The following is a 17,314-nucleotide window of genomic DNA, read 5'->3' on the forward strand; positions in this document are numbered from 1 at the left end:
GATCAAGAGACCCCAAGGCCATCCTCAGGTTCAATGACTCTTTAGAAGACATGGAACTCAGAAAAAAAATTTTTTTGGGGGGTTTTCTTCTTTTTTCTTTTATTTTATTTATTTTTCTTTTATTATTATACTTTAAGTTTTAGGGTACATGTGCACATTGTGCAGGTTAGTTACATATGTATACATGTGCCATGCTGGTGCGCTGCACCCACTAACTCGTCATCTAGCATTCGGTATATCTCCCAGTGCTATCCCTCCCCCCTCCCCCCACCCCACAACAGTCCCCAGAGTGTGATGTTCCCCTTCCTGTGTCCATGTGTTCTCATTGTTCAGTTCCCACCTATGAGTGAGAATATGCAGTGTTTGGTTTTTTGTTCTTGCAACAGTTTACTGAGAATGATGATTTCCAATTTCATCCATGTCCCTACAAAGGACATGAACTCATCATTTTTTATGGCTGCATAGTATTCCATGGTGTATATGTGCCACATTTTCTTAATCCAGTCTATCATTGTTGGACATTTGGGTTGGTTCCAAGTCTTTGCTATTGTGAATAGTGCCACAATAAACATACGTGTGCATGTGTCTTTATAGCAGCATGATTTATAATCCTCTGGGTATATACCCAGTAATGGGATGGCTGGGTCAAATGGTATTTCTAGTTCCAGATCCCTGAGGAATCGCCACACTGACTTCCACAATGGTTGAACTAGTTTACAGTCCCACCAATAGTGTAAAAGTGTTCCTATTTCTCCACATCCTCTCCAGCACCTGTTGTTTCCTGACTTTTTAATGATTGCCATTCTAACTGGTGTGAGATGGTATCTCATTGTGATTTTGATTTGCATTTCTCTGATGGCCGGTGATGGTGCGCATTTTTTCATGTGTTTTGTGGCTGCATAAATGTCTTCTTTTGAGAAGTGTCTGTTCATGTCCTTTGCCCACTTTTTGATGGGGTTGTTTTTTTCTTGTAAATTTGTTTGAGTTTATTGTAGATTCTGGATATTAGCCCTTTGTCAGATGAGTAGGTTGCGAAAGTTTTCTCCCATTTTGTAGGTTGCCTGTTCACTCTGATGGTAGTTTCTTTTGCTGTACAGAAGCTCTTTAATTAGATCCCATTTGTCAATTTTGTCTTTTGTTGCCATTGCTTTTGGTGTTTTAGACATGAAGTCCTTGCCCATGCCTATGTCCTGAATGGTATTGCCTAGGTTTTCTTCTAGGGTTTTTATGGTTTTAGGTCTAACATTTAAGTCTTTAAGCCATCTTGAATTGATTTTTGTATAAGGTGTAAGGAAGGGATCCAGTTTCAGCATTCTACATATGGCTAGCCAGTTTTCCCAGCACCATTTATTAAATAGGGAATCCTTTCCCCATTGCTTGTTTTTGTCAGGTTTGTCAAAGATCAGATAGTTGTAGATATGCGGCGTTACTTCAGAGGGCTCTGTTCTGTTCCACTGATCTATATCTCTGTTTTGGTACCAGTACCATGCTATTTTGGTTACTGTAGCCTTGTAGTATAGTTTGAAGTCAGGTAGTGTGATGCCTCCAGCTTTGTTCTTTTGGCTTAGGATTGACCTGGTGATGCGGGCTCTTTTTTGGTTCCATATGAACTTTAAAGTAGTTTTTTCCAATTCTGTAAAGAAAGGCATTGGTAGCTTGATGGGGATGGCTTGAACTCAGAAAAATTTTATGCTCACAGTTAGAGCTTATTATATCGAACAGTACAAATTGAAACCAACAAAAGCAAAAGGGACATGGACCAGAGTCTGAGACCCAGGATAGGCTTGCATTTGTGTTTTCTCCCTTGAGAGTTGCACAGACATTATCTAATTCTCTCACAAATAATGTGTGACATGTGTCAACCAGGGATGGTCACACAAACTTTAGTGTTTTTATTAGAGGGAAGTCATGTAGGAATGGGGTGCTCATGTGGCTGATATTATTTACTCAGACTCCTGTCCCTTCAGAGCTCAAACTGGTATGGTATAACTTAAGACTTCCACCACAAATCACATTTTTAGCATAAAGTACCTGGTGTCGACCAAGCCCTCAACATGTCCAAAGCATTATTATAAGGCTAGTTGTTCTAAGGGCTTACCTGTTATGTCCCAGGAACAAGTTGAGGGCCAGACCTTTCTTACAGAATTAACCTTTTATTAGATAGTGTTAAAGAATGAAGAAGGTGATAACATGAGAAAGACAAAATAAAGATTTTTATTGTCTTACTGGAAGAATATGTCTATTTTTTTCTTGACTTTTTAAAGTATCAATATTCTTTCTCTGAAAGACGTAACTGTCTAGGCTCTAGTAAAATATGCTGCAAGTACATGTTTTTAAAAGTAGTTTATTTTATTTCTTGTTATTCTGTGCTTAGCAACTTCCAATCTGATTACAGCTGACCCTTGAACAGTGCGGGTTTGAACTATGAGTTCACTTAACATGGACTTTTTTCAACTAAACACAGTATGAAAATACACTATTTGAGGAATGTGAAACCCACATATATGGAGGGCCATCTTTTGGTATATATGAATTCTGCAGGGCCACTGCTGGACTTGAGCATGCAAGGATTTTGTATGGATTATCCACAGTGGTCCTAGAACCAATTCTCTATGTATACTGAGGGATGACTGTAGTTATTTTTCTTGATATAAAAAAGAAAAAGTATTTAATAACGAATGTATGTACATGAGCCTTAAGAAGTTATCACAGTGATTGTAATCTGGATATGGTACAAATTTTATGGTACTAATGGGCCTACAATCACTTGATCCAACATTGGGCCTAAATTTCCTTAATGTGCTCAAACTCAAGCTGCTGGAGTTTCTCAAGGAATAGTAACCCATGAAAATAAATTATCAATCACCTTTCAACAACCAGAAATCACCACTGAAACAGGCTTTGATCAAGTCTTAAATAAAAATTGACATCAAATTTTTAGGTTGATTCCCACCTCCTGCTGAATTTTCTACCACCAAGGTCATGCTCTGTCACCTCGAATCAGTTTAAAGATATGCTTCAGATACTAATCTCTGGTAGTGGGGCATTCAACTGTCTTCAGTTACAGCACAAAATCCCATACAATTCAAACTAAGCTAAAAAGAAATTCCAAACTTAGTGGAGTTCTCTACTTCACTCTAAGTGAGGATCGTGCCCTGGTTAGCTTTGTTAGTTCAACCACATAGATAGACCTTATCTAAGGAAAGATAAGCACCCTATCTCACAATTTCCAAATATCACTTAGAAACAAGTTTTATGAACATTCTCTTTGGCCTTGTATCCTCTTATCTCCAATCTTGATTTTGAGTTATAAGAAAGAGGAACAGCCTTAGTTGCCACTCCTGTAAAATCAATAAATCATGGTGGTTCAGGTCCTAGAAGGATGCCACAGCTTCTCCTGAGCCTGGTGATTGATGGTGCCCATGGTGTTGTGACAAAGTGGCCACTCGAAAGCACTATCAGGGCAAAAATCCACAAGTCATTCTTGCAATCAATCTAGAAAGTATATGGCAGCAAGAGATTTAGGCATCTACTCTTCATTCATTCATTTGTTCTCTGGCTATTTCAGCTAGGCTATATACACTGGATAATAGGATAAAAAGACATACATTTTTGAAGACAGTCTTAAGTTCAAACTTCAGATGTGGATAAGTATTTTTTTAGCAAATTTTTATCAGTTATGGGCTGTATTCAGGATAAAAATGCTATAAATTAAACCCACCAAGTGTTTTATTGTTCATCCACTAAATGCCAGGCACTGCATTTTATTTTATGTATAACTCAATATACCAGTCTCTGCCCTCATAAAGATGACTTTCTGGTGAAGGAAATAAGCAAGTAAAAATATAAATGCAACCAGGGTGATAATGTTTGCCAGAAATGATATCAAAAGCTACAATGTAAAAGAAAATGTGGTAATTCCAACAAATGGGAACAAGTACTCTGTGAGTTCAGAACAAGAGACTATGACCATAAAAAATAGCCCTAGGCTTAAAATAGCTGGTCTTTTAAAAATTTATACAAGGTGTACTTGTAGAGATAAAGGGACCATTCAAGTGGAAAGACCAGCATAAGCCAAGTCAGATATATTAGAAAGTGTAGGTCTTACTAAAGGTACTGTAGAATTATTCCATTTGACTGAAGCACTGAATAGGTGTGTTGAAATGAAAGATGAGACTGGAAATGAGATTAGGGCCTGACAAGAAGGGACCTGAAGATCAGGAAAATAGAATTAGACATCTTCAAACCATACCAGAATTCTAGATTTGGCCTATAGTTTCACTGCCATCAAGAATTTATAATTTGGTATCATTTGGGGGTTTTTTGATCAAATTCTTAATAGATTCTATCTGGAAGATTGGAAATAACTTATATTTTAGGGACAAATCATATCCCCAGATCCCTTTATATTATTCCTAATCAATTTAAACTAAAAAACGAACAAAAATAGGACTTAGTCCAACAAAATCAATTTATTTTAACATCAGGAATTCATACGGGTGCTTTCTGAGATTATTATTGAAAATTCAAACTGGGTAAATCCATTTTTAAAAAGTATAGGAAGCCAAAGATCTATTTATGGACTACTTTCGAGTTATATTTAGAAAATGTATAATAAAGAGAAATGATTCATTGCAAATAATACTATAAAATTATCCCATGTATAATTTTTTCAATGAGTCAATTTTATAATATCAGACAAACAAAAGCTGAAGGATTTCATCAATAACAGACCTGTCTTACAAGAAATGCTAAAGGGACTCCTTCAATCTAAAAGAAATGGACATTAATGAGCAATAAAAAAATCATCTGAAGGTACAAAACTCACTGGTGGTAGTAAGTACACAGGGAAAAAAAGAATATTATAGCACCATAAATGTGGTGTGTAAACTCCTCGTATCTCAAGTAGAAAGACTAAAAGATGAACCTATCTAAAGTAATAACTATAACAACTTTTCAAGACATAGACAGTATAATAATAAATAGAAACAACAAAAATTTGAAAAGCAGGGAGATGAAATTAAAGTATAGAATTTTTATTAGTTTTCTCTTTGCTTGTTTGTTATTTGTTTATGCAATCAGAGTTGTCATCAGTTTAAAATAATAGGTTATAAAATATTATTTGCAAACCTCATTGTAACCTCAAATCAAAAAACATACAATAGATACACAAAGAATAAAAAGCAAGAAATTAAAACATACCACCAGAGGAAATTACCTTTGCTAAAAGGAAGACAGGAAAGAAAAGAAGACCACAAAACGACTAGAAAACACATAAAATAACAAGATTAAGTCCTTACTTATCAATGATTACATTGAATGTGAATGGACGAAACTCTCCAATCAAAAGCCATAGAGTGATCCCCCACTGATCAGGCCTCCAAGCACATTCCCCAGGCCCCTATCCAGGTCTTCATCTCTCCTTTTCCTGACACTGCCCCCTCCACCCTTCAAGAATGAGTTAACTAGGAATATGTCTCCTCACATCCAGAGGTCTGGCAGTCAGTTCTTCAGCAGAGGCAGAAGAGGTGGCAGAGTGGCCGTGTGCTTCCTAGGTGGAATCATTAGCTCCATCATGGAGGTGGCTACACAGCACAACCTGGAGCCCCTGCCTCAACACACACATTGCTCCAACACTGAGGCCAACAAGAGTGAGGAGGTCCATCATTTCTGGAGGCTCTTTGCCCGGTTGGCTGGAGATGACATCGAGGTCAGCGGCACAGAACTCATGAATGTTGTCAACAAGGTTGTGATCAGTAGGACTGAACTGAAGACTCATGGTTTTGGCATTGATACATGTCAAAGCATGGTGGCCATGATGGATAGTGACACCATAGGCAAGCTGGATTTTGAGGAATTCAACTACCTGTGGAACAACATCAAAAAGTGACACAATATACAAGCAGTTTGATGTTGACCGATCCGGAACCATTTGCAGCAGTGAACTTGCAGAGGCCTTTGAGGCAGCAGGGTTCCATCTGAATGAACAACTCTACAACATAATATTCTGACACTACTTGCATGAAGGAGAGAACATGGATTTTGGCAACTTTATCAGCTGCTTGGTCAGGCCAGATGCTTCGTTTCATGCCTGGAAATCTCTTTACAAAGATGACACTAGACCATTCTAAGTGAATATCCAAGAGTGGCTGCAGCTGACAATGTATTTCTAAATGGGAAACCCAGGCCTGCCCCTTCACTGCCTTGCTATAGGAGTCACCTTGGAGCCTCAGCCTCTCCCAGTGCTGATCCCATTTGCAGTCACATCTTCATGGGTCCTGCTGACCCATGGGCCTTTTGTTCTTCCAGCCCTTGGCACCCAGCTTCTCAGTCAAGATCCAGGGTCAAATGTGCCTCAACATGCCATGCCCTGAGTTGGCCCCAACTCTAAAACATGCTAACACGCTCTTCCAACAGTCACCCCACCCCACCATACCCATCTCACTCTCATGCCATAACCTCACTCTTGTATCTGTGCCAACCTCAACACTTGCATTGCTTGCATCCCCCAAGGGCCCTCTCTCAGTTCTGGGAGGATGACTCTGCTCCCTACACACCCTGGTCCACCCATTCACAGTTACCACCCAAGCAGTCAAACATCAGGCTATTCCAGTCCCACATGTTCCAGTGGTTTCGTCTATATTCTGCTCCTAGCCTGCCAGGCCCAGGAAGAAGAAAAAACATATGAGAAAAAGAAGGGGAGAGAGAGAGAGGAAGGACGGAAGGAAGGCAGGAAGGAAGGAAGGAAGCAAGCAAGGAAGGAAGGAAGGAAGGAAGAAAGGAAGGAAGGAAGGAAGACAGAGTGGTTGAATGGATTTTTAAAAACCAAGCCCCAATGATCTGTTGCCTACAAGAAACACACTTCACCTATAAAAATACACATCAAATTAAAATAAATGGATAGAAAAAATGTTCCATATTTCAACATAAATACTGGAAGAAGAGAAAGAGATAGTAATTATATAATAATAATGGAGTCAATTCAGCAAAAGAATAGCACAACTGTAAATATATATGCACCAACATTGACAGCTATTAATGTATTGGGGTCTATCTCTGTCTTCACCTCTAAAGAGATAATAGCTGGAGATTTCAACAGCCCACTTTCAGCATTGGACAGATCTTCTAGACAGAAAATTAACAACAACAAAAATCAGATTTAATCTGCACTAGACAACAAATGCAGTATAGACCAAACAGATACTTAAAAACTTTTCATCCAATAGCTGTACAATGCACATTCTTCTCTTTAGCACATGTATCATTCTCAAGAATAGACCATATGTTAGGCCACAAAACAGTCTAAAACATTGAAATTATAACTAGAAATTAATAACAAGGTGATCATTGAAAACCATATGTATATCAAAAAAGTAGAAAAATGTCAAGTAAACAACCTAATAATGCATCTTAAAAAACTAGAAAAGCAAAAGCAAACCAAATCCAAAATTAGTAGACATAAAGAAATAAGAAAGATCAGAGCAGAAATAAATGAAGTGAAAATGAATAAGAATACAAAAAATTAACAAAACAAACTTGATTTCTTGAAAGATAAAATTGACAAACCATTAGCCTAAGAAAAACAGAGAGAAGATGCAAATAAATGAAATTAGACATGAAAAAAGAGACATGATAATAGACACCACAGAAATTCAAAAGATCATTAGAGACTACTCTGAGGAGCTATATACCAGTAACTTGGAAAGCCTAGAACAAATGGATAAATTCCTAGACAAATACAACCTACCAAGATGAAGAAATCTGAAATCCAAATAAGCCAATAACAAGTAATGAGATTGAAGCCATAATAAAAAGTATCCCAGCAAATAAAGCCTGGCATTCAATAGCTTCACTGCTTAATTTTACCAAACATTAAAAGAAAAACTGATACCAATCCTACTCAAATTATTCCAAACAAAATAGAAGAAATGGGAATACTTCAAATTCATTCTACAAGGCTGATATTATGACACATCATGATACCAGATGAAAGACATCAAAAATAGAAAGAGAAACATACGTCAAAAATAGAAAACTACAGGCCACTATCCCTGAGAAATGTATATTTTTAATTTTTATTTTTAACTTTTGTGGGTACTAAGTAGGTGTATATATTTATGGGGAACATGGGATACTTTAATACATGCATGCAATGCATAATAATCACATCACGGTAAATGTGGTATCCATCCCCTCAAGCATTTGTCCTTTGTCTTGCAAACAATCCAATTACATTCTTTTAGTTATTTTAAAATGTACAATTAAATTATTATTGACTATAGTCTCCATCTTGTGCTATAAAAAACAGGTCTTATTCATCTTTTCTAACTACTTTTTCTACCCATTAGTCATCCCCACTTCCCCTCACACCACCCCACTACCCTTCCTAGCCTCTGGTAACCATGTTTCTACTCTCTATTTCCACAAATTCAACTGTTTTAACTATTGGCTCCTACATGTAAGTGGGAACATGTGAAGTTGGTCTTTCTGTCCCTGGCTTATTTCACTTAACATAATGACCATGAATTCAACCCAAGTTGTTGCAAATGACAGAATCTCATTCTTTTTGATGACTGAATAGTACTCCATTGTGTATATGTACCACATTTTCCTTATCCATTCATCTGTTGATTAACACTTAGGTTGTTTCCAAATCTTGGCTATTGTGAAGAATGCTGTAACAAATGTGGAAGTGCAGATATCCCTTTGATATGCTTATTTCCTTTTGGGGTGGTATATGCTCAGCAGTAGAATTGCTGGATCATATGGTAGCTCTATTTTTAGTTTTTTAAGGAACCTTGTGATTTGAGCTCCTTATATATTCTGGTTATTAATCCCTTGTCAGATGGATAGTTTGCAAGTATTTTCTCTTATTCTGTGGGTTGTCTCTTCAGTTTTTTAATTTTTTTCCTTTTTAACTTAATGTGATTTGACTTGTCCATTTTTGCTTTGGTCACTCAGGAAATCTTTTTCCATTCCAAGGTAAAGAGTTTTCCTAATGTTTTCCTGTGGTAGTTTCATAGTTTGAGGTCTTAGATTTAAAACTTTAATCCATTTTGATTTGATTTTTTGTATATGGTGATAGGTAGGGGTCTATTTTCATTCTTCTGCATATGAATATGCATTTTCCCAGCACTATTTGTTGAAGAGATTTTTCTTTCCTTCATGTATGTTCTCGGAACCTTTGTCAGAAATGAGTGCTCTGTAGGTTTATGGATTTGTTTCTGGGTTCCATATTCTGTTTCATTATCTACATGTATGTTTTTATGCCAGTAACATGCTGTTTGGGTTACATAGCTCTGTAGTATAATTTGAAGTCAGGTAATATGATTCCTCCAATTTTGTTCTTTTTGCTCAGGACAGCTTAGGCTATTCTGAGTCTTCAGTGGTTCCATATAAATTGTAGGATTTATGTGGAACTTAAATAGTTTTCTCTATTTCTGTGAAGAATGTCATTGATATTTTGATAGGGAATTCACTGAATCTGTAGATTTCTTTGGGTAGTATGGACATTTTTAAAATGTTCATTCTTCAAATCCATGCAAATGGAATAACTTTCCATTTTTTGTATACTCTTCGATTTCTTTCCTCAGTGTTTTGTAGTTTTCATTGTAGAGATTTTGTTTTTGTTTTGTTTTGTTTTTGTTTTTGTTTTGAGACAGAATTTTGCTCTTGTCACCCAGGCTGGAGTGCAATGGCACAATCTTAGCTCATTGCAGCCTCCACCTCCCAGGTTCAAGCAATTCTCCTTCCTCAGCCCCCCAAGTAGCTGGGATTACAGGTACCTGCCACCACAGCCAGTTAATTTTTGTATTTTTAGTAGAGATGGAGTTTCACCATGTTAGTTTCACCATGTTGGGCAGGCTGGTCTTGAACTCCTGACCTCAGGTGATCTGCCCACCTCGGTCTCCCAAAGTGCTGGGATTACAGGCTGAGCCACCATGCCTCAGACCTCGTTGTAGAGATCTTTCCATTCTTTTGGTTAATTCCTAGATATAAAATTTTATTAGCAGCTACTGTAAATGTGATTGCTTTTTTATTTCTGTGTCAGATTGTTTACTGTTGGCATATAGAAATGCTATGAGTTGTGTATATTACTTTTGTATCCTGAAACTTTACTGAATTTATCAGCTCTAATAGTTTTTGGTGGAGTTTTTAGGTTTTTCCAAATATAAGATCATGTTATGTGCAAACAAAGATAATTTGACTTCTTCCTTTCCAATTTGGATACCCTTTATGACATTCTCTTGTCCAGTTGCTCGACCTAGAACTTCTAGTACTATGTTGAATAACAGTGGTAAAGTGGGTATCCTTGTTATCTTCCAGGTATTAGAGAATGGGCTTTCAGTGTTCCCCCATTCAGTATGATATTGGCTGTGAGTCTGTCACATATGGCTTTTAGTGTGTTGAAGTATGTTCCTTCTATACCCAGTTTTATTAGGGTTTTTATTGTGAAAGGATGTTGAATTTTATCACATACTTTTTCAGCATCAATTGAAATGATCAAATGGTTTTTGTTCTCCATTATGTTGCTATAATGTATCACATTGTTTGATTTGCATATGTGGAAACAACCTTGAATCCCTGGGATAAGTCCGACTTAGTCATAAATTATTTTCAATGTATTGTTGAATTTGATATGGTAATGTAGTGTTGAAAATTTTTGCATCAATATTTATCAGAGATATTGGCCTGTAGTTGCTTTTTTTAAATAGAGTTTAAGTTGTAGGGTACATATGCAGAACGTGCAGTTTTGTTACATAAGTATGCATGTGCCATGGTGGTTTGCTGCACCCATCAACCCATCAACTACTTTAGGTATTTCTCCTAATGCTATCCCTCCCCTAGTCTCCCACCCCTAACAAGCCCCAGTGTGTGATATTCTCCTCCCTGTGTCCATGATTCTCATTGTTCAGCTCCCACTTATGAATGAGAACATGTGGTGTTTGGTTTTCTGTTCTTGTGTTAGTTTGCTGAGAATGATGGTCTCCAGCATCATCCATGTCCCTGCAAAGGACATGAACTCATCCTTTCTCATGGCTGCGTAGTATTCCATGGTGTATATGTGCCACATTTTCTTTATCCAGTCTATCATTGATGGGCATTTGGGCTGGTTCCAAGTCTTTGCTGTTGTGAAAAGTGCCAAAATAAACATATGTGTGCGTGTGTCTTTATAGTAGAATGATTTATAATCCTTTGGGTATATACCCAGTAATGGGATTGCAGGGTCAAATGGTATTTCTAGTTCTAGATCCTTGAGGAATCACCACACTGTATTCCACAATGGTTAAACTAATTTACACTCCCACCAACAGTGTACAAGCTTTCCTATTTCTCCACATCATCTCCAGCATCTGTTGTTTCCTGACTTTTTAATGATTGCCATTCTAACTGGCATGAGATAGTATCCCACTGTGGTTTTGATTTGCATTTCTCTAATGACTAGTGATGATTAGCTTTTTTTCATATGTTTGTTGGCTGCAAAAATGTCTTCTTTTGAGAAGTGTCTGTTCATATCCTTCACCAACTTTTTGATGGGGTTGTTTGTTTTTTTCTTGTAAATTTGTTTAAGTTTTTTGTAGGTTCTGGATATTAGCCCTCTGTCAAATGGATAGATTTCAAAAATTTTCTCCCATTTTGTAGGTTTCCTGTTCAGTCTGATGATGGTTTCTTTTGCTGTGCAGAAGCTCTTTAGTTTAATTAGATCCCATTTGTCAATTTTGGCTTTTGTTGCCATTGTTTTGGTGTTTAGACATGATGTCTTTGCCCATGCCTATGTTCTGAATAGTATTGCCTAGGTTTTCTTCAAGGATTTTTATGGTTTTAGGTCTTACATTAAGTCTTTAATCCATCTTGAGTTAATTTTTGTACAAGGTGTAAGGAAGGGGTCCAGTTTCAGTTTACTACATATGACTAGCCAGTCAACACCATTTATTTAATAGGGAATCCTTCCCCATTGCTTGTTTTTGTCAACTTTGTCAAAGATCAGATGGTTGTAGATGTGTGGTGTTATTTCTGAGGCTTCTGTCCTGTTCCATTGGTCTATATATCTGTTTTGGCACCAGTACCATGCTATTTTGGTTACTGTAGCCTTGTAGTATGGTTTGAAGTCAGGTAGCGTGATGCCTCCAGCTTTGCTCTTTTGGCTTAGGATTTTCTTGGCTATGCGGGTTCTTTTTTGGTTCCATATGAACTTTAAAGTAGTTTTTTCCAATTCCGTGAAGAAAGTCAATGGTAGTTTGGTTGGGATGGCATTGAATCTATAAATTACCTTGGGCAGTATGGCCATTTTCACAATATTACTTCTTCTTATCCATGAGCGTGAAATGTTTTTCCATTTATTGTGTCACCTCTTATTCCCTTGAGCAGTGGTTTGTAGTTCTCCTTGAAGAGGTCCTTCACATCCCTTGTAAGTTGGATTCCTAGGTATTTTATTCTCTTTGTAGCAATTGTGAATTGGAGTTCACTCATGATTTGGCTCTCTTTTTGTCTATTATTGGTGTATAGGAATGGTTGTGATTTTCGCACATTGATTTTATTTCCTGAGACTTTGCTGAAGTTGCTTATCAGCTTAAGGAAATTTTGGGCTGAAACGGTGGGGTTTTCTAAATACACAATCATGTCATCTGCAATCAGAGACAATTTGACTTCCTCTTGTCCTATTTGAATACCCTTTACTTCTTTCTCTTGCCTGATTGCCCTGGCCAGAACATCCAATACTATGTTGAATAGGAGTGCTGCAAGAGGGCATCCTTGTCTTGTGCTGGTTTTTAAAGGCAATGCTTCCAGTTTTTGCCCATTCAGTATGATATTGGCTGTGGGTTTGTCATAAATAGCTCTTATTAATTTGAGATACGTTCCATCAATACCTAGTTTATTGAGAGTTTTCAGCATTAGGGGTGTTGAATTTTGTTGAAGGCCTTTTCTGCATCTATTGGGATAGTCATGTGGTTTTTGTCATTGGTTCTGTTTATGTGATAATGTTTATTGATTTGCATATGTTGAACCAGCCTTGCATCCCAGGTATGAAGCTGACTTGATCATTTTTGATGTGCTGCTGGATTCCGTTTGCCAGTATTTTATTGAGCATTTTCGCATAGACGTTCATTAGGGATATTGGCCTGAAATTTTCTTTTTTTGTTGTGTCTCTGCCAGGTTTTGGTATTAGGATGATGTTGGCCTCATAAAATGAGTTAGGGAGGATTCTCTCTTTTTCTGTTGTTTGGAATAGTTTCAGAAGGAATGGTACCAGCTCCTATTTCTACGTCTGGTAGAATTTGGCTGGAATCTGTCTGGTCCTGGGCTTTTTTTCATTGGTAGGCTATTAATTACTGCCTCAATTTTAGAACTTGTTATTGGTCTATTCAGGGATTCAACTTCTTCCTGGTTTAGTCTTGGCAGGGTGTATGTGTCCAGGAATTCATCCATTTCTTCTAAATTTTCTAGTTTATTTGTGTAGAGGTGTTTATAGTATTCTCTGATGGTAATTTGTATTTTTGTGGGATCAGTGGTGATATCCCCTTTATGATTTTTTGTTGCGTCTATTTGATTCTTCTCTCTTTTCTTCTTTATTAGTCTGGCTAGTGGTCTATTTTGTTGATCTTTTCAAAAAACCAGCTCCCGTATTCACTGATTATTTGAAGGGTTTTTCGTGTCTCTATCTCTTTCAGTTCTGCTCTGATCTTAGTTATTTCTTGTCTTCTGTTAGCTTTTGAATTTGTTTGCTCTTGCTTCTCTAGTTCTACTTTTTTTTTTTTTTTGAGATGGAGTCTTCCTCTGTCACCTAGCCTGGAGTGCAGTGGCACGATCTCAGCTCTCTGCAACCTCCGCCTCCCAGGTTCAAGCAATTCTCCTCCCTCAGCATCCCGAGTAGCTGGGACTACAGGCGCATGCCCCCATGCCTGGCTAATTTTTGTATTTTTATTAGAGATGGGGATTCACCATGTTAGCCAGAATAGTCTCAATCTCCTGACCTCATGATCCACCCGCCTCGGCCTCACAAAGTGAGGGGATTACAGATATAAGCCACCACGCTGGGCCTAGTTATTTTAATTTTGATGTTAGGGTTTCAGTTGTAGATCTTTTCTGCTTTCTCTTGTGGGCATTTAGTGCTATAAATTTCCCTCTAAATACTGCTTTAAATGTGACCCAGAGATTTTGGTACATTGTGTCTTTGTTCTCATTGGTTTCAAAGAACATCTTTATTTCTGCCTTCATTTTGTTATTTAACCAGTATTCATTCAGGAGCAGGTTGTTCAGTTTCCACGTAGTTGTGTGGTTTTGAGTGAGTTTCTTAATCCTGAGTTCTAATTTGTTTGCACTGTGGTCTGAGTGACTGTTTGTTAAGATTTCTGTTCTTTTGCACTTGCTGAGGAGTGTTTTACTTCCAATTATGTGGTCGATTTTAGAATAAGTGCTATGTGATGCTGAGAAGAATGTATATTCTGTTGACTTGGGGTGGAGAATTATGTAGATGTCTATTAGGTCTGCTTTGTCCAAAGCTGAGTTCAAGTCCTCAGTATCCTTGTTAATTTTCTGTCTCCTTGATCTGTCTACTATTGACAGTGGGCTGTTAAAGTCTCCAACTATATTGTGTGGGAGTCTAAGTCTCTTTGTATGTCTCTAAGAACTTGTTTTATGAATCTAGGTGCTCCTGTTTTGAGAGCATATATATTTAGGATGGTTAGCCCTTCTCATTTTATTGATCCCTTTACCATTATGTAATGCCCTTCTTTGTCTTTTTTGATCTTTGTTGGTTTTAAGTCTGTTTTATCAGATATTAGGATTGCAACCCCTCCTTTTTTTTTTTTTCACTTTCCATTTGCTTGGCAAATATTTCTCCATCCCTTTATCTTGAGCCTATGTGTGTCTTTGCAAGTGTGATGGGTCTCCTGAATATAGCACACGGATGGGTCTTGACTCTTTATCCAGTTTGCCAGTCTGTGTCTTTAATTGGGGCATTTAGCCCATTTACATTTAAGGTTAATATTATTATATGTGAATTTGATCCTGTCATTATGATATTACCTGGTTATTTTGCACATTAGTTGATGTAGTTTCTTCATGGTGCCAATGGTCTTTATATTTTGGTATGTTTTTGCAGTGGCTGGTACCAGTTTTTCCTTTTCATATTTAGTGCATCCTTCAGGAGCTCTTGTAAGGCAGGCCCCATGGTGACAAAATCTCTCAGCATTTGCTTGTCTGGAAAGGATTTTATTTCTCCTTCACTTACGAAGCTTAGTTTCGCTGGATATGAAATTCTGGATTGAAGATTCTTTTCTTTAAGAATATTGAATATTGGCCCCCACTCTCTTCTGGCTTGTAGGGTTTCTACAGACAGATCTGCTGTTACTCTGATGGGCTTCCCTTTGTAGGTAACCTGAGCTTTCTCTCTGACTGCCCTTAACGTGTGTTCCTTTGTTTCAACCTTGGAGAATCTGACGATTATGTGTCTTGGGGTTGCTCTTCTCAAGGAGTATTATAGTGGTCTTCTCTATATTTCCTGAATTTGAATGTTGGCCTGTCTTGCTGTTCTCCTGGATAATATCCTGCAGTGTGTTTTCCAACTTGGTTCCGTTCTCCCCGTCACTTCTGGGTACACAAATCAATTGTAGGTTTGGTCTTTTCACTTAGTCCCATAGTTCCTGGAGGCTTTGTTCGTTCCTTTTTATTCTCTTTTCTCTAATCTTGTCTTCACGCCTTATTTCAGTAAGTTGATCTCCAATCTCTGACATCCTTTCTTCTGCTATTGATTCGGCTATTGATACTTCCGAATGCTTCATGAAGTTATCATGGTTTTTTTTTTTCAGCTCCATCAGGTCATTTATGCTCTTCTCTAAACTGGATATTCTAGCTAGCAGTTCCTGTAATCTTTTATCAAGTTTCTTAGCTTCCTTGCATTGGGTTAGAACATGCTCCTTTAGCTCAGAGGAGTTTGTTACTACCCACCTTCTGAAGCCTACTTCTGTCAATTTGTCAAACTCATTCTCTGTCCAGTTTTGTGCCCTTGCTGGAGAGGAGTTGGGATCATTTGGAGAAGAGGCATTCTGTTTTTTGGAATTTTCAGCTTTTTTGTGCTGGTTTTTCGTCATCTTTGTGGATTTGTCTACCTTTGATTTTTGAGGCTGATGACCTTTGAACAGGGTTTTTGTGTGGGGGTCCCTTTTGTTGATGTTGGTATTTTTGCTTTCTGTTAGTTTTTCTTCTCAAAGTCAGGCCTCTCTTCTGCAGGTCTGTTGCAGTTTGCTGGAGGTCCACTTCAGACCCTGTTTGCTGGTATCGCCAGCAGAGGCTGCAGAACAGCAAGGATTGCTGCCTGCTCCTTCCTCCAAAAGCTGTGTCCCAGGGGGGGCACTGGCTTGATGCCAGCTGGAACTCTCCAGTATGAGATCTCTGTCAACCCCTGTTGGGAGGTCTCTCCCAGTCAGGGACCTACTTGAGGAGGCAGTCTGTCCTTTAGCAGAGCTCAAGCATTGTGCTGGGAGAATCCTCCTCATCAGGATCAACTGCTCTCTTCAGAGCTGGTAGGCAGTAACATTTAAATCTGCTGAAGCTGTGCCCACAGCCACCCCTTCCCTCAGGTCTCTGTCCCAGGGGGATGGGAGTTTTATCTATAAGCCCCTGACTGGGGCTGCTGCCTTTCCTTCAGAGATGCTCTGCCCAGTGAGGAGGAATCTAGAGAGGCAGTCTGGCCACAGCTGCTTTGCAGTGCTCTGTTGAGTTCCACCCAGTCCAAACTTCCCAGCCTCCTTAGCACTGTCAGGAGAAAACCGCCTACTCAAACCTCAGTAATGGTGGACGACCCTCCCCCAACCAGGTTCAATTGTCCCAGGTCAACTTCAGACTGCTGTGCTGGCAGTGAGAATTTCAAGCCAGTGTTTCTTAGCTTGCTGGGCTCCGTAGGAGTGGGACCCGCTGAGCAAGACAACTTGGCTCCCTGGCTTCAGCCCCCTTTCCATGAGAATGAATGATTCTGTCTTGCTGGGATTCCACCACTAGGGGAAAAAAAAAAATTCCTGCAGCCAGCTCGGTGTCTTCTCAAACAGCTGCCCAGTTTTGTGCTTGAAACCCCAGGGTCCTGGTGGTATAGGCACGAGGGAATATCCTGGTCTGCAGATTGCAAAAACCACACGGAAAAGCGTAGTATCTGGGTGGGTAGCACAGTCCCTCAGGGCTCCCCTTGGCTGGGGGAGGGAGGTCCCTGGCTCCTTGCACTTCGCAGGTGAGTCAATGCCCCACCCTGCTTCTGCTCGCTCTCTGTGAGCTGCACCACTGCCTAACCAGTCTCAATGAGATGAACAGGGTACCTCAGTCG

At 38.7% G+C, this 17,314-nt stretch overlaps 1 pseudogene; it reads left to right on the forward strand.

Annotated features, from left to right (window-relative positions):
• On the forward strand, positions 5,528-6,167 carry CAPNS1P1 (calpain small subunit 1 pseudogene 1; annotated as a pseudogene).

Source organism: Homo sapiens, chromosome 1 (assembly GCF_000001405.40).
Source record: "Homo sapiens chromosome 1, GRCh38.p14 Primary Assembly".
Lineage (NCBI taxonomy): Eukaryota > Metazoa > Chordata > Mammalia > Primates > Hominidae > Homo > Homo sapiens.